The sequence below is a fragment of the Homo sapiens genome, chromosome 13, assembly GCF_000001405.40.
Source record: "Homo sapiens chromosome 13, GRCh38.p14 Primary Assembly".
Taxonomy (NCBI): Eukaryota; Metazoa; Chordata; class Mammalia; order Primates; family Hominidae; genus Homo; species Homo sapiens.
The window spans coordinates 40,508,543-40,529,739 of record NC_000013.11 but is presented as its reverse complement, the minus strand read 5'-3'; the positions used below and the strand labels follow the sequence as shown (position 1 = coordinate 40,529,739).

The 21,197-nt window shown below is 40.2% G+C and overlaps 4 annotated features.

Moving 5' to 3' along the window:
• Nucleotides 10,560-11,759: an enhancer, noted in NCBI's record as "BRD4-independent group 4 enhancer chr13:41092118-41093317 (GRCh37/hg19 assembly coordinates)". NCBI's record gives its function as "activates an origin of replication core promoter dependent on BRD2, P300/CBP, MED14 and CDK7 cofactors, and independent of BRD4, by STARR-seq in HCT116 cells {active_cell/tissue: HCT116}" and the evidence as "EXISTENCE:reporter gene assay evidence [ECO:0000049][PMID:35650434]".
• Nucleotides 11,415-11,484: an enhancer, noted in NCBI's record as "active region_7607". NCBI's record gives its function as "activates an Ori minimal core promoter by ATAC-STARR-seq in GM12878 lymphoblastoid cells {active_cell/tissue: GM12878}" and the evidence as "EXISTENCE:reporter gene assay evidence [ECO:0000049][PMID:35858748]".
• Nucleotides 11,605-11,754: an enhancer, noted in NCBI's record as "active region_7606". NCBI's record gives its function as "activates an Ori minimal core promoter by ATAC-STARR-seq in GM12878 lymphoblastoid cells {active_cell/tissue: GM12878}" and the evidence as "EXISTENCE:reporter gene assay evidence [ECO:0000049][PMID:35858748]".
• Nucleotides 11,965-12,164: a silencer, noted in NCBI's record as "silent region_5279". NCBI's record gives its function as "represses an Ori minimal core promoter by ATAC-STARR-seq in GM12878 lymphoblastoid cells {active_cell/tissue: GM12878}" and the evidence as "EXISTENCE:reporter gene assay evidence [ECO:0000049][PMID:35858748]".

Here is a 21,197-nt window from a genome sequence, read left to right as displayed (position 1 = left end):
ACACCCTGTTTTCCCTGTTATTAACACCTTACATTCGCGTAGCACATTTGTTATAATTAGTGAACTAATATTGGTATACTATTAGTATCATTAGCTGAAGTCCAAACTTTATTCAGATTTTGTTAGTTTTTACCTAAAGTACATTTTCTGTTCCAGGATCCCATTCAGCATATCATATGACCTATATTTGTTTTTATTTATTTATTTTTTTTGAGATGGAGTTTCGCTCTTGTTGCCCAGGCTGGAGTGCAATGGCTTGATCTTGGCTCACCGCAACCTCTGTCTCCCCGGTTCAAGCAATTCTCCTGCCTCAGCCTCCCGAGTAGCTGGGATTACAGGCATATGCCACCACACCCGGCTAATTTTGTATTTTTAGTAGAGACAGGGTTTCTCCATGTTGGTCCGGCTGGTCTCAAACTCCCGACCTCAGGTGATCCGCCCGCCTCGGCCTCCCAAAGTGCTGAGATTACAGCCATGAGCCACTGTGCCCGGCCTCATACGACCTTTAGTTGCCATGTTCCCTTAGCCTCCTCTTGACCGCGACAGTTTCTCAGACTTTCTTTGTTTTTAAGACGTTGACAGCTTTGAAGAGTACGAGTAAGGTTGTAAAATGTTATTCACTTGGGAGTTGTCTGATGTTTTTCTCATGTTTAGACTGGGATTATGGGATTATGGGTTTGGAGAGGAAAACCACAGAAGTGCCATTCTCATCACATCATATCAAGGGTATGTACTAGCAACAGGAATTATCACTGTTGATTTTGACCTTGGTGACCTAACTGAGATAGTGTTTGTCAGGCTTTTCCACAGTAAAGCTACTCTTCCTACCCCCCCTGTTTTCTATACTGTGTTCTTTAGAAGGAGGTCACTCTGTACAGTCCACACATAAGGAGTGGAGAGTGATGCTCCATGTCTTTAAGGGTGGAATATCTACATAAGTTATTATTAAATTATTCTGCATAGGAGATTTCTCTCTTCTCTCCATTTATTCATTTAGTCATTTATCTATATTAGAATGGACTGATAGATATTTCTTTTATACTTTGGATTATAATCAGTACTATTTTATTTATTTTGTTGCTCAAATTATTTCAGCTTTGGCTGTTGGGAGCTCTTTCACTTGGCTTCTATGTCCCTTTGACATACCCCAGTCATTTTTTTAAAAGCGCTTCCTTACTCAATGGCACTATAAAATGTCCAGGTTCATCTCATCTATTTCCTGCTCCAGTTCTACAATCAGCCATTTTTCTAAGAAACACTGGTTCTATTTATTGGAGAATGGTATTAGAAACCAATACCTAGGCAATAGGTGTGCTTACTGATTCTGGTGTGTTATTACTTTTCTCAGCTGACAAAGCAAGGAAATACATGTGTACACTAACCAGTGTATATAAGAACATCTATTAAATAATTCTTTATGTAACCACGTGTTCATTTTAAGCTAAACATGGATTCATACACACCTCTCCAACTCTAGCCATTACCACACACACAGATCATTCCAGCATCCTCCTGTTGCTTGTCTGTAATCTCCCACTACACCAGCCATCCATTTGCTTATTCATTTCCAGTATACATGCATAGCACTATCAGAATTGTTAACCAGCATGCATGTGGGAAGCAACTTTATCAGCCAGAATACAGTGCTTATGTGTAGTTTCTTTGCTGTTAGTCTTACAGATTCCACTCATTTCCAAAGTTTTTTAGGACAACAACTTTTTCCCACATCTACTTCAGTGAGGTCATTTGATGCATTTTTAATACAGTTAGATTCTTTTGTCACTTACTGCATTCCATCCAAGAATTCCCCAGGCTCCTAAATGATATTTTAAAAATTTCATACCTTAAGGCTTATTCTTTGTGCTGTTAAGTTCAGTGGGTCTTGATAAATGAGGTCATGTATCCACAATTACAGTGTCATACAGAGTAGTTTCACCACTCTTAAAAAAAATCTCCTGTGCAACACCTATTAATCCCTCCTTTCCTACACTAAACCTCTGGAAACCACTGATCTTTTTTTTTCTTTTTCTTTTTTTTTTTGGAGACGGACGGAGTTTTGCTCTTGCTGCCCAGGCTGGGGGGCAATGGTGCAATCTTGGCTCACTGCAACCTCCACTTCCTGAGTTCAAGCGATTCTCCTGCCTCAGCGGCTCAAGTAGCTGGGATTACAGGGGTGTGCCACCATGCCTGGCTAATTTTTCTAATATTAGTAGAGATGGGGTTTCACCATGTTGGCCAGCTGGTCTCGAACTCCTGACCTCAGGTGATCCATCCACCTCTGCTTCCCAAAGTGCTGGGATTGCAGGCATGAGCCACCACGCTCAGCCAACCACTAATCTTTTTATTGCATTTATAGATTTGCCTTTTCCAAACTAGCTTCTTTCACTTGACAATATGCACTTAAGATTTGTCCATGTCTTTTTGTAGCTTGATATCTCATTTCTTTTCAGCGCTGAATAATATTCCATTGCATGGATATGCAAAAGTTTGTTTATGCACTCACTATTCAAAGACATACTGGATGCTTCCCGTTTATGGTGATTATGAATAAAGCTGCTATAAACATTCACATGCACATTTTTGTGTGGATATAAGTTGTCTTTATTTTTTTTGAGACAGCGTCTCACTGTCACCCAGGCTGGAGTGCAGTGGTGTGATCTCAGCTCACTACAACCTCCACCTCCTGGGTTCAAGTGATTCTCATTCCTCAGCCTCCCGAGTAGCTGAGACTACAGGCATGTGCCACCACGCCTGGCTAATTTTTGTGTTTTTAGTAGAGATGGGGTTTCACCATGTTAGCCAGGCTGGCCTTGAACTCCTGGGCTCAGACGATCCACCCACCTCTGCCTCCCAAATTGCTGGGACTACAGGTGTGGGCCATTGTGTGAATATAAGTTTCCAAATCAGTTTGGTAACTGTCTAGAAGTGCAGTTGCTGGATTGTTGGGTGAGACTATGTTTGGATTTTTAAGAACTTGCCCAACTATCTTTGAAAGTGTCTGTTCCATTTTGCATTCCTAGCAGCAATGAATGAGAGTGCCTATTGCTCACATGCTCATCAACAATTAGTTCAGTTTTTTTTCTAATTTTAGCTATTCTAATAAGTATGTAGTAGTATCTCGTTTTAATTTCCAATGCCCTTATGACAAATGATGTTTATAATGTTTTCACTTGCTTATTTTTCATGTATATATTTACTTTAGTGGGGAGTCTGTTCAGATTTTTTGCCATTTTAAAAATTGGGCTGTTTATTTTCTTATTGTTCAGTTTTTAGAGTTCTTTGTATGTTTGCATGTAAGACTGTTATCAGATATGTGTTTTACAAATATTTTTTCCTAGTCTGTGGCATGGCTTTCACTTGTCTTAACAGTGTCTTTTGAAGAACAGAAGTTTTTTGTTTTTGTTTTTGTTTTTCAGACAGAGTCTCAGTCTGTTGGCCAGGCTAGACTGCAGTGGTGTGATCTCGGTTCACTGCAACCTCCACATCCCAGGTTCAAGCGATTCTCCTGCCTCAGCCTCCCAAGTAGCTGGGATTACAGGCACACGCCACCATGCCCAACTAATTTTTGTATTTTTAGTAGAGACGGGGTTTCACCACGTTCGCCAGGATGGTCTCGAACACCTGACCTCGTGATCTGCCCGCCTCGGCCTCCCAAAGTGCTGGGATTACAGGCTTGAGCCACTGTGCCGGCCTAGAACAGAAGTTTTTAACTTTAAAAATGTCTAATTTATTATTTTTTCCCCATGGATCATGCTTTTAGTGTTGTATCTAAAAACTCATTGCCAAAATCAAGATCACCTAGACTATTTCTATGTTTCCTTCTAGATTTTTTTTAGTTTCATTTTAGATACAGGTCTCTAATTGATTTTGAGTTAATTTTCATGAAAGGTATTAGATCTAGGTCCATGTTTTTGCATATGGATGTTCATTTTTTTCCAGCACCATTTGGCAAAAAGACTATCCTTTCTCTACTGAACTGCCTTTGCTCCTTTGTCAAAGATCAGTTGGTTATGTTTGTGTTAATCTATTTCTGGGCTCTCTATTCTGTTCTATTGATCTATGTTTCTGCTCTTTTGCCAATACCATGCTGTCTTCATTACTGTAGCTTTAAAGTAATGTTGAAATCAGGTTGTGTGAGTTTTCCCAATTAGTCTTCCTTCTAGGTTTTTGCCTTTTTTAAATGTATTTTATTTTACTTTGAGACAAAGTCTCACTCTGTCACCCAGGCTGGAGTGCAGTGGCATGATCTCGGCTCACTGCAACCTCTGCCTCCCGGGCTTAAGCAATCCTCCTACTTCAGCCCCTCGTGTAGCTGGGACCACAGGTGCATGCCATCACGCCTGGCTAATTTTTTGTATTTTTGGTAGAGAAGGGGTTTCACCATGTTGCCCATGCTGGTCTTGAGCTCCTGAGCTCAAGTGATTCACCTGCCTTGGCTTCCTAAAGTGGTGGGATTACAGGCATAAGCCACCCACTTTGCCCAGCCAGGTCTTTGCCTTTCCATATAAACTTTGGAATCATTATGTCAACATCTACAAAGTAGCTTACTGGGAATTTTTGATTGGGATTGCATTAAATCTATAGATCATGTTTGGAAGAATTGACATCTTAACAATATTGAGTCTTCCAATCTGTGAACATGGAATCTCTCCATTTATTTTTCTCTTTGATTTCTTTCATCACAGTTTTATAGTTTTCTGCATATAGACTATGTACATATTTTGTCAGAGTTATACATAAATTTTCTTTTTTTTAGTGCTATTGTAAATTATATTGTTTTTTTCAACTTCAAATTATGATTTTTTAATTGCTGGTATAGAAAAACAATGGACTGTTCTATAGTAAGTCTGCAAACTTGCTATATTAGCTTGTTAGTCCTAAGAGATTTTTAGTGATTCTTTGGGATTTTCTGTATAGACAATTATGTCATCTGTGAACAAAGACAGTTTTATTTCCTCCTTCATATTCTACATACCTTTTCTTTCCTTTGCCTGTCTTATTGCACTAGCTAAGTCTTCTAGTACAATGCTGATTATGAGTAATGAGAAAGGACACCCTTACCTTGTTCCCAAGGTACTTAGAGGAAAGTGTCTAGTTTTTCATCATTAAATATAATAGCTGCAGGATTTTTGAGGGTTTTTTTTTATTTATCAAGTTGAGGTAGTTTCTCTCTGTTCCCAGTTTGCTGAGAGTTTTAAAAATCATAAGTGAGTGTTGGGTTTTGTCAAATGACTTTTATCCATCAATTAATAAAATCTTATGATTTTTCTTCTTTAGTCTGTTAATATGGTAAATTACATTGATTGAGTTTTGAATGTTGAACCAGCCTTGCATATCTGGAGGAAGAAGTCCCACTTGGCCATGGTTTATAATCCTTTTTATACATTGTCGAATTCAATTTACTAATGTTTTATTGAGGATTTTTGCATCTGTGTTCATGAGAGATACTGGTCTGTATCTGGTAATCTGTATTCCTTTCTGGTAATATATTTTTTTCATTAAATTTTTTTATTGACAATAATAATTATACATATTTATGGGCTACATATTGAAGTTGCAATACATATAATATATAATGATCAGATCAGGGTAATTAGCATTCCATTATCTCAAAGATCATTTCCTTGTATTGGGAACCTTCAATATCCTCCTTCTAGCTATTTTAAACTATATATTATTGTTAACTATAGTCATCCTACAGTGTTAGAGAATACTAGAACTTATTCCTCCTTAAGGTAATGTTGACTTTTTAGAATGAGTTAGGAAGTGTTCTCTCTGCTTCAGTTTTTCTGGAAGAGATTGTGGAGAATTAATATCATTTCTTCCTGACATGTTTGGTAGAATTCACCATCTGGGCCTAGTGCTTTCGTTGTAGAAGGTTATTAATTATTTATTCAATTTATCTTATAGATATAAATGTATTCAGATTATCTGTTTCTCCTTTGTGAAATATGATAGTTTGTGTCTTTAAGGAATTGGTACATTTCATCTAAGTTATCAAGTTTGTGGGCATAAAATTTTTCATAACATTCCTTTATTGTCCTTTTAATTTCCATGGCATTAATAGTGACAATTCTTACCATTTTTAAATGGACTTCTAAATTTTATCATTAGTAGTTGTAAAGAATTAACTTTCTATATATTGTAAAATGTATTGCTTTTGCTGAAAAATTAAATGATTATATATTTTCTTAAAATGTATCTAATGGGCCAGGCGCGGTGGCTCACGTCTGTAATCCCAGCACTTTTGGAGGCCAGGGCGGGCAGGTCACAAGGTCAGGAGATCTAGACCATCCTGGCCAATGGTGAAACCCCGTGTCTACTAAAAATACAAAAATTAGCTAGGCGTGGTGGCATGTGCCTGTAGTCCCAGCTACTCAGGAGGCTGAGGCAAGAGAATCCCTTGAACCCATGAGGTGGAGGTTGCAGTGAGCTGAGATCGCACCACTGCACTCCAGCCTAGTGACAAAGCGAGACTCCTTCTCAAAAAAAAAAAAAAAAAGTATCTAATGGAATCTAAATGTCATATTAATTTAATATCTACCATCATCTATTTATCTATTTATTTAAAAAGCTCATAAAAAAGGTCGTCTTTATTGGAAATATTACATCAGTTTTCTTTTATTTTACTTTAAATTGATAAATAAAATTATATCTGGTTATCGTGTACAACATGATTTGAAACGTATACATTGTGGAATGGCTCAGTTGAGCTAATTAAAATATGCATTATCTCACATACTTACCATTTTTAGTGGTGAGAACACCTAACATCATCCCATTTTCTCTCCGAACTTGTATTTCCATTTTACTCCTCCCCCAGATTTTTATCTTAATATATCTTATTTTTATGCTTAGAAACCTTAATAATTTCTTGTAACATAAAAAGCACAATTTCATGGGAAATGCATCTTGTTATGAAATAGTCTAGGTCTCCCTTTTAAATCATAATTAGTTCATATACCCATGGCTGAGTATGACTTACTGCTTGAATGATACAAGGCTCAACACCAATTATATTACTATCTTGGTTTTTGTAGATGGAAGTCCTAAAGAAATCTTGTCTGCATCCCTAAGAAGATAAGCATGGAAAGTTTCTGTTAGAGCAGTGTTACTCAAGTCTCTGAATTCCTTCTGAGTTAAACGCCAGAAATCACTTGGTGATCTTTCATCAAAATTATTTTTAGGTATCTATCATGAATAACTCTATTAGAGACTCCTTTCATTTTGTTGAAAGTAATGAGTTAGAAACTACTTGAATTGCAAAAAGATATTTTATTAGTCATCAGAGTCATTGCACTTTCTCAAAAACAACCTCAACATTCAAATAAACCTTTGCCAGTCACCCTGGAGGTTTTGCATAGACAATGCATCATTATAAGATTTGAAATGAGGGTCAAGTAAATATTTCTTTTGTAAGGTGGGAAAAGGATCTCTTATGAAAGCAGGGGTGAGAAATGGCTTGACCGTAGTGATACTCAAATTTAGGAATGAATGCAGGCAGAGCTTGAGGCTCATGAAAATTATTTCCCTTAAACTACCTAAGTGCCCAGGTACTCCTTGGAAAGATTTTGTGAACCGAGGAGCAAGCACCTTATTTTGAAGACCCATCTATGGAAAAGGCAGGAAGGCATCCTTGATAAGATGGCATTTGATAATAGACCTGAAGGAAATGCAGGTGAAACCATGTGGCTACTGGGGGAAGAGAAATCCAGGCAGAAGAAACCTCAAGGGCAAAAACACTGAGGCAGGAGTGGTCTTGGAATGTTCTGGAAACAGCGAGAAGACCAGTGTTGGTTGTAGCAGACTGAATAAGGGAAAGAGTGGTAGAATATGAGGTCAGAGAGATAAGCAGCAGCATGTTAGGTTTTGGAGTCCAAGGTAGAAATTTGGGATTATATTATGAGTGAGATGAGAAGAACGACTTTCCACTGGAGGGTTTTGAGTTTGGGGGTGACATGACCTGGCTTTAATTTTAAAAGGCTCACTCTGGCTGCTGTGTTACTTAGTACATGGAAATATTGTTGCCTTTATCATTTCTGGGTAGTTTTGCTGACATTCTTTTTCTGGGTTCACAACTGTGATGGCAGTTTTAGCTGTGCAGGATTATGAAAATGATCTGACCCCTGAGGAATTTGGGATATCAGTTTGGCCTGGGTGTGGTTCTCTTCTGCTTTGTGGGCTCAGAACTCTTGTATTCCAAAGGAAGCCATCTTCTTTCTGGCCGTCAGCCCATTGCACTTGAGCCATAAATGTTGGGGTTTGGGCACCAGATAAATGTAGTAGGGTCTCGGCTGATGACCTGCAGAAGCAGATCATGGAATTATAGAAGCTATTGTAGGTCAGTTCCCAGGAAACAGACTGAAACTCAGATTTGTGTGTGAGAAGTTTATTGGGGAGTGCTCTTTTGAACATTACCTGTAAGGAGTAAGGAAAGCAGTAGTGCGCAGAGGGGAGTACTGGACTCTGATACAGTTGCAGCAGAGGCCCTGACCATCCTAAAGAGGGATGGCCTTTTAGAATTGTCTCAAATGAAGCATGAGGCCTGGGCCTTAACACCTTCCACATCAACTAGTCAATGGTTGTGGGTGGGCCCTGGAAAAGGGATGTGCTTGGGCCAAGAGTCATTCTTGGGGAGAAACTTAACTGTGAGCCATCAGCTGCCAAGACTCCAGGCAACCTGGGAAATGAGTGTCTCAGTCTTGAAGGGGTGTCTGGGTGGCACACCATGGTAATTCACTACTGATGATTAACTGGAAGATCCCTTTAAAGATCATCACCAACACCTCGACACCAGACACCACCATTTCGAAGCTAAAGAAACTGAGGCCTGGGAGTGTACAAATATTGTTTATCCTTGCATCATCTTCTCATGTGTTAATTACAAAACACAAAAATGACGTCAACACGTATGCCTTATTTTCTAAAGGAGGGAGAGTATAAAACTGATTGTTAATTTTTTAAAGTATTTGCAAATATCAACTGATTGCCATTATTGTTGGTGCTGCATATACTGTTTTTATTTTTTAAGAAACAGTTCTTTTACTTCAGAACAACTGCATGGACTGTTAAGGTGATCACCAAGTTCACTTCACATCCGTTCCATGCACATTCTGTTTCCCTCGTTGGTGCACACAGTCTTCATTATAAGGAAAATCCACTCTGTGCCTACCGCAAGAATAGGAATCAATTCTTAATGCTGAAATAATTTCAACTAACATGAAGTACACTGCTTGGATACTGTAGTTTGATTTGCTTGGGTGGTTCTGTCTTCCTACATTCATTGTGAAAGAAATCTCTTAGACCACCCAGCAATCATGTTCCCGTATTTACAAAATATTTTTTACATAAAAGAAATTGCACAGGACTAAAACAACCAAATTTTGTAATATGTGGACCAGATTCAAACCAACTATAAGAAGACATTTTGGAGACAACTGGGGAAAAATCAAACACATTAAGGAATTATTACTTTTCTTAAGAGTGATAGTGGACTTGCGGTCATGTTAAATTTAAGTCATTATGTATTAGGGTCAATACTGAAATGTTTATAGGTGAAATGATTTGAGGTCTGGGATTACCTAAAATATTCCAGAAAATAGGAGGAATAGATGAAACAAGAATGGTAAAATGCTGATGGTAGTTGAAGGTGGGTTATGGCACAGGGGGGATAACTTTTACCATTCTCTTAACTTTGGTGTGTATTTGAAAATTTCCATAATAAAAAGTTAAAAAAACCCACATTTTTTCATGTCTGGTTTTAAAACTTTTATTTTACTGGATGGAAGCTAAGAAAATGGGTTGTCTAGCCTAATTTTGAACTTCTGGCAGTATAACTGTCCCAGATTAGGGAAGAGGCACAGCCCAGCCTGCAAAAATGCCCGGCTGGACCTCATGTGATCACACCCATTCGCCACGGCAGGCAGTGTCACCTCCTCTGGGTCTCATGGTGAATAACCGCAGCACGGCTGAGAAGGGTGAGCTGACAGAACAGGTAGGCCTTGGTTCAAACCTGGAGCCCACCTTTCTTTAGCCTCTGTGATCTTACACTTCATGTGAGCTCTCTCAATCTCATTTATAAACTGGGACTTGTTTGAGGGTTAGAAGTGATGCAGAGAAGGTATCTAGTGCATAGTTGATATCCAACACAATGGTAGTCATTATTGATAAAAAGCTGTTTGTTCTCCTCTCCTGGGAAATAGTCCTGCTTTGTCTCCAGGTTGTAGAAGTTTTCCCTGGGAGTTTATCTTGGTCCGGGAGGAACAAGTCCCTATCTCTAGATTTCATTCATGGGGTCCCATGTCACCCTGAACCTTCTACCTTTTAATGCTTGTCTGCAAGTTTATTTATAGTCCATCTTTTGGACTTGGGCTAAGAATTTGTAATATATGTAAAACACGAGGATTTGAGAGGAAGCCTAAAATGTCTCTAAGAAATCTTTTCATTGTTGGGCAGCTCTGGTATTTTTTATTCCTTTGTGATTTGGTGCCCTGAAGCAAACATGGCTAATCAAATAAGAGTCACCTACAGATCCTGATTCCTTGGCCAGGCCTCCATCCCCTAAAATGGGGAAATTGCTCCCTGGTGCTAAGTGGAGGCAAATTAATAATAATAAATTGCATTAATACTTTTCAATAGCATTTTAATTAAACTTTTTTAGTAACAGTATGAAAATCTGCCTTATTCTTTTATATACTATTTTATTAATCTACTCCATGAGCACTTTTTCAGTTTTCAAATGTATGTATTTATCATTTCATTTGATTTATTCTAACAACATGCCTGTGAACTAGAGAGGTGGAAACAGAGAAGGCCAAGGTGAAGGACTTCATTCCAAACATAGGATCTCACTTCCACCCAGAGTGCTGTCCCTTAATTAGACCCAGGTTTTTCTGTGGGCAGATTACAATCTACCCATTGATCTTAAAGTCACGCCAGGTTAATTTCCCAGTTGACAACTGCCACCTGCTCCCTCCCTATGGGAATTTCCCAAGGGGAACGTGGCCAGCCCTGACTCAGCCAGCCCACACCTCGCCTAGACTTCCAGCAGCCACCCTTCACCCACCTTGATCACACTTGAAGGAAATCAAAAGTAACACCTTCTTGGGAAAGGGCTGGGGCCTCTCTCCGGAGATGGTGCTGCCTCCCACTCAGCAGCTGCTGTCTTGTCCATTTAGACTCACAGATGGGGTTGAGTCTCAGAAGCCTCTATGTGGATCAGAACTGGGGTGGGGGAATCTGAGGGAAGAGGCTCATTTCCTGGTGCTCTGTGGGAGTGACAGACTTTGAGTCTTGCAACAATCCTTCACTTCTTTGTTTGAGGATAGCAACAAAGAAAGAAGACAGCACTTGTTCTTCTTCCATGGAGTCCACAATAGGTTTCCGAAGGCAGACATTTTAGCAGATACCCTTTCGTTGTCTAGCAATGCTTCCTTGTCATTACCAGTTTGAGCTGGATATTCATAAGAGCTACCATTTACTGAGCAGAAGCCATGCGCCGGGCACCATGCTGAACGAGACAGTCTGAGCCCCAGGGAATACAGTTGTGAATAAAGCTTTCCTGAAGCTTACAATTTACTGGGTTATGGCTACTGAACAACTGCTTAAGTTGAATGATTAGAAGGGGATGCAGGGTTTAGAAGGGGAAGTCCAGGGTGCTTCAGGAGTCTATAGCTGACATTATTTGATTTAATCCTGACAGTAGCTCTGGGAAGTAGTATCACTATTTCTCATTTTTCAGACAAGACAACCGAGGCTGAGAAGTTTAAGTACATTTCTCATTGAAAGGAAAGTGCTGGGATTTGACTTGGTGAGCTTCTACTCTGTACTCAATGCTCATACACAGAAACAAAACTACTCACCAATGTTGGAACTGTACCTCTTCTGTAAGTTTAAATTTGGACAGATCATTGTTCGATTAGAAGATCAAAGGTTCTTACCTCTATGGAGAGGCTTCAGGGGGTTGTGAAACCCCTGAAACTGTATGCAAATTTCAGTGAGTATCTGCATGTGTCTCCTGGGGAGAAAGTCCCTAGGTCACACCATGTTCTTTGAGGATCAATGACACCAAAATGTTAATAACCACTGCATTGGCTCATGTATTCATGACTGCAGCTGACTTTGTTCTCAGCCCACTCAGCAGGCAGCTGAACAAGCCCAGTGCAAAAAGAGGTTAGTGGGTGTTTGTTGGTCCCCACATTTTTACAAGTTGTCGATGGTGATGGCTGAGGGTCTGTTCACCTCTCAGCCTTGCTCCTTCCCCTCACCTGCCAAGCCGTCTGGTTGGGATAGGTAGGACAGGTGGTGTGGGTCTCTTGTGGGGCACCAAGAGCCTTCTCCCAATATACCTCTCTGAAGGGTCCAGTTGTGCCATAGAAGCCAGTATTTCAGATTTTTAGACATTATATTAGTTTCCTGGGCTGCTGTAACAAAGTACAACAAACTGGGTGGCTTAAAACAACAGAAATGCATTCTCTCACAGTTCTGGAGGCCAGAAGTCTGAAATCAAAGTGTCTAAAGGCTCTAGGGAAGAATCCTTTCTTGCCTGTCCCTAGCTTCTGGTGTTGCAGGCAATCCTTAGTATTCCTCAGCTGCGTCACTCCAATTTCCATCTCTTCGTGCAGCTGTCTTTTCTCTGTCTCTGTGTCTTTCATGATCTTTTTATAAAGATACCAGTCATTGGACTTAGGGTCCCCCCAGTCCAGTATGATCCCATCTTAACTAACATCTGCAAAGGCCCTCTTTCCAAATAAGGTCACCTTCTGAGGTTGGGGGGAAGCAAATTTTGGGACTACGCTATTCAATCCAATACTGATATAGTCTTCCACCTTGTCTTCTGTTAACAAAATAAGTGCTTCTCAGTAAAAGAACAGTAACCTCAGAAGCCTTGTCAGTGGTTTATGTAGGAGTGTAAATGAATTTATCAGGTATTTTTCCAAAGGCAGGTTCTGCTTGGGCAAGTAGATATGCAGTTCCTAGGTAGCTGGATGGGAAGAGGTAAACTCCTAGCAGGGGAGGGCAACTGGCTAGGAGGCTGGAGACACTAAAGACAAATTTTCTTCACTTTATAGTGTTCCTAGGTTGGCTCTTGATGTAGAATTCATTCATTATTTTGACGTAAAATTCATTCATTTAGTGACCCATTCATTCATTCTAAAAATATAGAATGTTTGATGTGTTAAGACATTTTTTTTTTTGATGGAGTTTTGCTCTTACCGCCCTGGCTGGAGTACAATGGCGTGATCTCGGCTCACTGCAACCTCCGCCTCCCAGGTTCAAGGGATTCTCCTGCCTCAACCTCCCAAGTAGCTGGGATTACAGGCATGTGCCACCATGCCCGGCTAATTTCGTATTTTTAGTAGAGACGGGGTTTCTCCATGTTGGTCAGGCTGGTCTCGAACTCCCAACCTCAGGTGATCCACCCCCCTTGGCCTCCCAAAATGCTGGGATTACGGGCATGAGCCACCATGCCCTGCCTGATGTGTTAAGAAATTTTAAGGGCAAACAAAATGAATCAGTTACGGCCCCTGCCCTAAATGAACCTGCAATCTCACCGGGGAAAGGAACGGGCATGGACTACCTGTATGCAGGTCAGAAAGTGAGGAGTGTTCCCTGTCCATAACACTTAGAGCCCTGCTGGCGAGAAGCAGTGAGAATGCTGTGCATATATCTACCCTAGGGTAGATCAGAAAAGGTCTCATGAAAGTGGAGATACTGGAACTGGGTTTTCAAGGATGGATATGATGGAAACATGGAGAAGTAGGAGAGAGACAAGTGGAATCACAGAACAAAGACACTTGTGTGGGAGATCAGGAGACATGAATGGGAAATGGCATAGCTTGGCTGGAGTGTCATGAACAGGAAGCATCTGGATTGTGGGGGCTTTGACTGCCAGGCTAAGGAAGTCAGGCTCTAGATTATTATTATTATTATTATTTTTTTTTTTGAGAAAGAGTCTCACTGTTCCCCAGGCTGGAGTATAGTGGCATGATACAGGTTCACTGTCTCTTGGGTTCAAGCAATTCTCCTGCCTCAGACTCCTGAGTAGCTGGGACTACAGGCACGCACCACCATGCCCAGCTAATTTTTTGTATTTTTAATAGAGATGGGGTTTCTGCCATGTTGGCCAGGCTGGTCTCAAACTCCTGGCCTCAAGTTATCTGCCCGCTTCGGCCTCCCAAAGTGCTGGGATTACAGGGATGAGCCACTGTGCCCAGCCTGGGCTCTAGATTTTAATGCTGGGGCCATGAGGGGCTCTGAAAGAGACTGAGCTGTGAAAGGCAGGATTAGAATGGTGTTTAAGAAAGCTAACTGGGTGGGGTTGTGGTGGCTTATGCCTATAATCACAGCACTTTGGGAGATGGAGGTGAGAGGATCCCTTGAGCCTAGGAGTTCGAGTCTAGCCTGGGCAACAAAATGAGAACTCTGTCTCTATAAAATTTTTTAAAAATTTAGCTGGGTATGGTGGTGCACACCTGTGGTCCCAGCTACATGGGAGGCTGAGGTGGGAGGATCCTTGAGCCCAGGAGGTTGAGGCTGCAATGAGCAATAATGGCACCACTGCACTTCAGCCTGATTGACAGAGCAAGACCCTGTCTCAAAAAGAAAAAAAAAAAAAAAAAAAGAAGGCTAAGAAGGCTAACTGGACAGCAGAACATGTCATGGGAAGAAGAAATGGGTACAGGAAACCAGTTAGGCCACAGCAAGAGGGGACCAGCACTGGAAGTTGGATAGAGCCACGTGATTGGGGCAAGAATGGAGAAGTCAGCACGAAACAAAATATATAGTGAGGGCAGGGCAGGGCAACTCATTGGATGGGGCCAAGTGGTTCTTGTTTTTTTTTTTTTTTAAGTTAGAAATGTTTATTAACCTAACATTTATTTTTAGTCATTTTTTTGCTATGCAATATTTTATACACACAAAGGAACATAGGTAATGTATATGTAAGTTAGGAAGTGTAATAGTCAAATGAGCACCCTCGAACTTAGCATTCACTACCTGTGGGCCTGACCTCATCTGCTGCCCTACACTGAATTTCTTATTGATCATTCTCTTGCTTTTTTCTCATAATTTTACCATATATGTTTGTATCCCTAAAACATAGGGAGGGAGATATCACCTCCTGTGGATGACACCTGGGAGGTATTTCAGAGGCACTAGATTAACCTTCTTCTCTCTGTTCCAGCCCTGTCCGAAGAGCAGCTGCTGCCTGACAGTGACTTGGGGGCAGGCCCCATAGTAACACATTCTGTGGCAGGAGGTTCTGTCAGACGATGGTGACTTACAGATTAGAGACTTTTTAAGGAGTGATGGAGGAGCTGAAGATTTATACTTCAGAGAAGAGCTTACTTTCTCCCGGCCTAGGGGAGGACACTCTTCCAGTCATATGGCTCTGTAATATTCACTCCAAAACGTGGTGGCTTAAAAACATTTATTTTGCTCACAAATCTTCAGTCTGGGCAAGGATAGCTTGTTGCTATTCCACTTAGTATTGAATAGGGTGGCTTGAAGGCTGAAGTTGGAGTCCTCTGAAGGCTCACTCACTCATATGTCTGGTGACTGGGCTGGGAAGACACAAAGAGTTGGGGGCTGGAACAGCTGGGGCTCCTTGGCACTCTCTATGTGCTGTCTCCATATTGTCTCTCCCTCATAGTAGCTTTGAGGGCCAAATGTCTTACATGGTGGCTAATGAATACAAGTTCATATGTCCCAAGAGAAGGAGATCCAAATGGAAGCTGTATTACCTTTGATATCCTAACCTCAGAGATCACATAGCCATACTTTATTGGTAGAGGAGTCACGTCCAAAGGGAGGGAACATAGACCCCATTTCTTGATGCCAAACTTACACACACAAAATTTTAGTAGGTTCTTAGGAGGAATCTGCGGTAATACTATGTGTAGACAATGTTTTTCACATGGTAAGAATGGATCCACAAAAATGTGGCTATCTTTGGAAAATACAGTCTGACCCAGTCTCTGACTTAGAAGAATGAAATGCTTTGATCTGTTTTCACAGGATTAGCCTTGGAAAGAATAGGAATACACATATGAACAGGTAACAGCTTGGAAAATAACCAGTCAAACATAAGGGCTAGGGTCTAAGGTACATCCCTCAGAGGACTTCTGCTTCAAAACCCAAGGAAATGGCATCAACCCACAGAAATTGGTCTCGAGCTCTGTAACTGATGATCACTGTGCTGTAGCATTTAACTCAAACAAGAGTAATTATTTTTGAGCTCCCATTTCATGTGAGGTGCCACGGTAGGTATCAGCATACAGAGACAGAGAGACACACATTTTCTGAGATGCTCACAAGCTGCTTACTGAAACATCTTGTGACCAGACATGACAGAGCGAGGTGATTGCAGGCCAGAAAAGGGAAAGAGAGGCAAAGGAAGAAAGAAGACATGAAACCCAAGAAAGAAAGGAGTAATAGAAAGTGAGAAAGAAGATTTAAAAAAATTTTCCATTTCTATTTGAGTCTCTTATCTTTTCTGCTCTAATATTGTGCTCTTTTCCTGCAACCTCACACACACAAAATTTTAACTAGTAGGTTCTTAGGAGGAATCTGCAGTAATACTATGAGTAGACAATGTTTTACACAAAGCCTTGGGACTCCTTTTTGAGGTAAGCTTCAAATACCCCAGCAGAGATCTTCACAGTTTGCACACTGTTGACCAGTGGCTCACTGCTAGTTTCCTCACCTTCAACTCCCTTGGGATGCCATCCTCCAAAGCACAGTCTACCTCGTGGCGCTCTCCTGCGGATTCTTACAGGTAGATGGGATTCATGGGATGGAGCTTGAGCAAGGAAGATGAATGACTACTTGTGGTGTGACCAGTTCTATTTTACTGGGGGAAAGAGGGCTGGGTGCTCAGTTTATCTGCATCTCCATACTTCATTCACCCGTGAAACTGAACAACCTTTCACCCATGAAACTGAAGAAGGGAAAGGGTGCAGGGAACTTGCACACATTCAGCAACTGGTCTGGAATCTCTCCCAGGTTCTCTCCACCTCGGGGGCCTTCCGGACAGTCCCATTGTCAGCCCCTACTGCTTATGCTGGGATATGGCCTGGGCCCATCTGAAGGTCTACAGAATTGATCCTCCAAGCTGAAGAGGCTTCCGATAATTTCCATTGTTAATTTTTTATTTATAACAGCTTTTTAATTTTTTTGTCTTTTAAAAAATATTAATTTTATTTTATTTTAAGTTCCTGGATACATGTGCAGGCCGTGCAAGATTGTTACATAGGTAAATGTGTGCCATGGTGGTTTGCTGCACCTACCAACCCATCACCTAGGTATTCAGCCCAGCATCCATTAGCTATCCTTCCTGATGTTCTCCTTCCCCCTGCCCCCGGACAGGCCCCAGTGTGTAATGTTCCCCTCCCTGTGTCCATGTATTCTCATTGTTCAACTCCCACTTATAAGTGAGAACATGTGTGGTGTTTGGTTTTCTGTCCCTGTGTTACTTTGCTGAGGTTAATGGCTTCCAGCTTCATCCATGTCCCTGCAAAGGACATGATCTCGTTCCTTTTTATGGCTGTACAGTATTCCACGGTGTATTTGTACCATATTTTCTTTATCCAGTCTATCACTGATGGGCATTTGGGTTGAATCTATGTCTTTGCTATTGTGAATAGTGTTGCAATGAACATACATGTGCATGTATATTTATAATAGAATGATTTATATTCCTTTATGGACCAGTGGAACAGAATAGAGATCTCAGAAATAAGACTGCACATCTACAACCATCTGATCTTCAACAAACCTGACAATAACAAGCAATGGGGAAAGGATTCCCTATTTAATAAATGGTGCTGGGAAAACTGGCTAGCCATACACAGGAAATGGAAACTGGACCCCTTCCTTACACCTTATGCAAAAATTAACTTTATATGGATTAAAGACTTAAATGTAAAACCCCAAACTATAAAAACCCTAGAAGAAAATCTAGGCAGTACCATTCAGGATATAGGCATGGGCAAAGATTTCATGATGAAAACTTCAAAAGCAATTGCAACAAAAGCCAAAATTGACAAATGGTATCTAATTAAAGAGCTTCTGCATAGCAAAAAAAAAAAAAAAAAGTATCATCAGAGTAAACAGACAACCTACAGAATGGGAGAAAATTTTTGCAATCTATCCATCTGACAAAGGGCTAATATTCAGAATCTACAAGAAGCTTAAACAAATTTATAAGAAAAAAAAAACAACCCCATTAAACAGTGAGCAAAGGACATGAACAGACACTTCTCAAAATAAGACATTTATGCGGCCAACAAACATGAAAAAAATCTCAACATCACCGATCGTTAGAGAAATGCAAATCAAACCACAATGAGATATCATCTCACACCAGTCGGAATGGCAATTATTAAAAAGCCAAGAAACAACAGATGCTGGCGAGGCTGTGGAGAAATAGGAACGCTTTTACACTGTTGGTGGGAGTGTAAATTAGCTCAACCATTGTGGAAAACAGTTGGTGATTCCTCAGAAACCTAGAACCAGAAATATCATTTGACCCAGCAATCCCATTACTGGGTATAACAGCTTTTAAAAGATAATTCGCGTGCCATACAATTCACTCATTTAAAGTGTACAATTCAGTGGTTGTTAGTATATTCACAATTGTGTAGTCATTGCCACGATCAGTTTTAGAGCATTTTCGTCACTCCAGAAGGAAACCCTGTACCTATCAGCAGTCATTCCCCATTTCCCATAATCAGTATCCCCCATACCCCCACCTCTAGGAAACAACTGATTTACTTCCTCCTGCTGATGGACTTGCCTATCCTGATGGATTGTATGATTTCGTGGAATCATACAATTTGTGTGGTCTTTTGTGACTGGCTTCTTTCAAGATTTTCAAGTTTCAGTCATACTGCAGCATTTATTAGCATTTCATTCCTTTTTATTGTTGAATACTATTCCATTTTCTGGATATAGTACATTTATTCATCAGTTGGTGGAAATTTTAGTTGTTTACACTTTTTGATAATTATGAATAATGCTGCTAAGAGGATTTGTGTACAATATTTGTATGGACATGTTTTTAGTTCTCTTGGGTATGTAACTAGGGCTTGAATTGCTGGATCATATGGTAACTCTATGTTTAACTTTTTGAGGAACTGTCAAGACTGTTTTCCAAACAAATGGCTGCATCATTTTTTTATTCCCATTAGCAATGTAAATGAGTGTTCCAATTTCTCCACATTCTCACCAACACTTGTTATTTCTGTCTTTTTTATTATATTCATCCTGGTGGTATGAAGTGATATCACTGTGGCTTTGATTTGCCTTTCCCTAAGAGCTAATGATGTTGAGAATCTAGTCATGTGCTTATTAACCATTAATATATCTCCTTTGGAGAAATATCTAGTCAGATCCTTTGCCCGTTTATTAATTGGGTAATTTGTGTTTTTATTAAGGAGTTGTAAAAGTTATTTATATGTGCTGGATACAAGTCCCTTATCAGATATATGATTTGCTAATATTTTCTCCCATTCTGTAGGTTTTTTTTTTTTAACCTTCTTGATGCTGTCCTCTGAAGGGCAAAAGTTGTAATTTTGATCATGTCCAATTTATGTATTTTTTTGTGGTTGTTATTTGTGCTTTTGGCATAATAGCTAAGACACTATTGCTTAATCCAAGGCCACAAAGACTTATGCCTATGTTTCTTCTAAGAGTTTAATAGTTTAGCTTTCACATTTAGGTCTTTGACTCATTTTGAGGTAATTTTTGTATAAGTGTGAGGAAAGGGTCCAACTTCATTCTTTTGCATGTGGTTATCCAATTTTCCCAGCATTATTTGTTGAAAAGACTATTTTTTCCCTCATTGAAATGTCGTGATAGCCGATGTTTTCCTTTTCCAATGTAAATATGTTGTAGTAAAATATATATAACATAAAATTTACCATCTTAACCATTTATTGTTTGGGTTTTTTTGTTTGTTGGTTTGTTTGTTTTTGAGACAAGGTCTCACTCTGTTGCCTAGGCTGGAGTGCGGTGGCATGATCATGGCTCACTGCAGCCTTGACCTACTGGGCTCAGGTGATTCTCCCACCTCAGCCTCCCAAGTAGCTGGGACTACAGGTGTACACCACCAAGCCCAGGTAATTTTTAAATTTTTTGTAGAGAAAGGGTTTCACTTTGTTGCCCAGGCTGCTCTCGAACTCCTGGGCTCTAGCGATCCTCCCACCAAGATTACAGGCATGAGGCACCGTGACTGGCTCATTGTTAGTTTTTATGGCATGGAAAAGCAGTGAGAAACTATTAATAGGGAAATTGCAGAGAAATTTCTTGATGAATCCTGGACAGTAGAGATTTGTGACAGCTATGTTCTGCTGTGCATTTCACAAGCATTATCTCATTTAATCCTCACAACTCTATGAGGTATTATATGATTATTCCCATCTTATTGATGAAAAACCGAGACTTAGAGGGAGGTTAAGAAGCTTGCACAGAGGTCAACTGCTAATAACCAGTGGTGCTGGGCTTTGAATCCAGGCCCATCTGACTCTAGCACTGGTATTAACAATTATGGGCTCATGCTGAAATAACGACAGCTGCTAACTATGTGTCAGCCACTCTTCTAAGCATATTACTAACTCATTTCATTCCTACAGTAATCATACTCACATACAGATGGATAAATGGAGATGCAGAGTTTCAATAGCACCCCAACCAATCAGTGGTAAAGACAGAATTTGAACCCAGAGTCTTTGATTTTAATGTTTTTAGCCACCACACTATATTCTTCAAAGCTTTGTTGCTGTGGTTTTTAGGTTTCATCTGCAGCTTCTTTTGTCAGATTTTTTTTTTTTTTAAGTCTACTCACTTGTGATTTCTACAAACAAGTTGCTTTAATTTTGCCTGGTCTCTTTGATTCCAAGGTTGCTCGCTGTAATAGCCTTAAAGAAATTTCTAGGAGATATTTTTGTCTTAATGAGATGAGCTGTTCTCATAATGCTGAGCTTCTGCTTTTCTAAGCCAGGAGAGTTACTTGTAATAACTGGGGCATCAACAGCTTATGGGAACCCAACCAATCCCACTGTGGATTTTATTTAAGGCAAGATGGGCGACTTTCACCCTTTAGGCCTGTGGATCACTGTTCATGGCTCTTAAATGAATGCTGCCGTTCAAAAAGATGACTGGCACGATGCTCCCAGTTTTTACTATTTCTTTTGAAA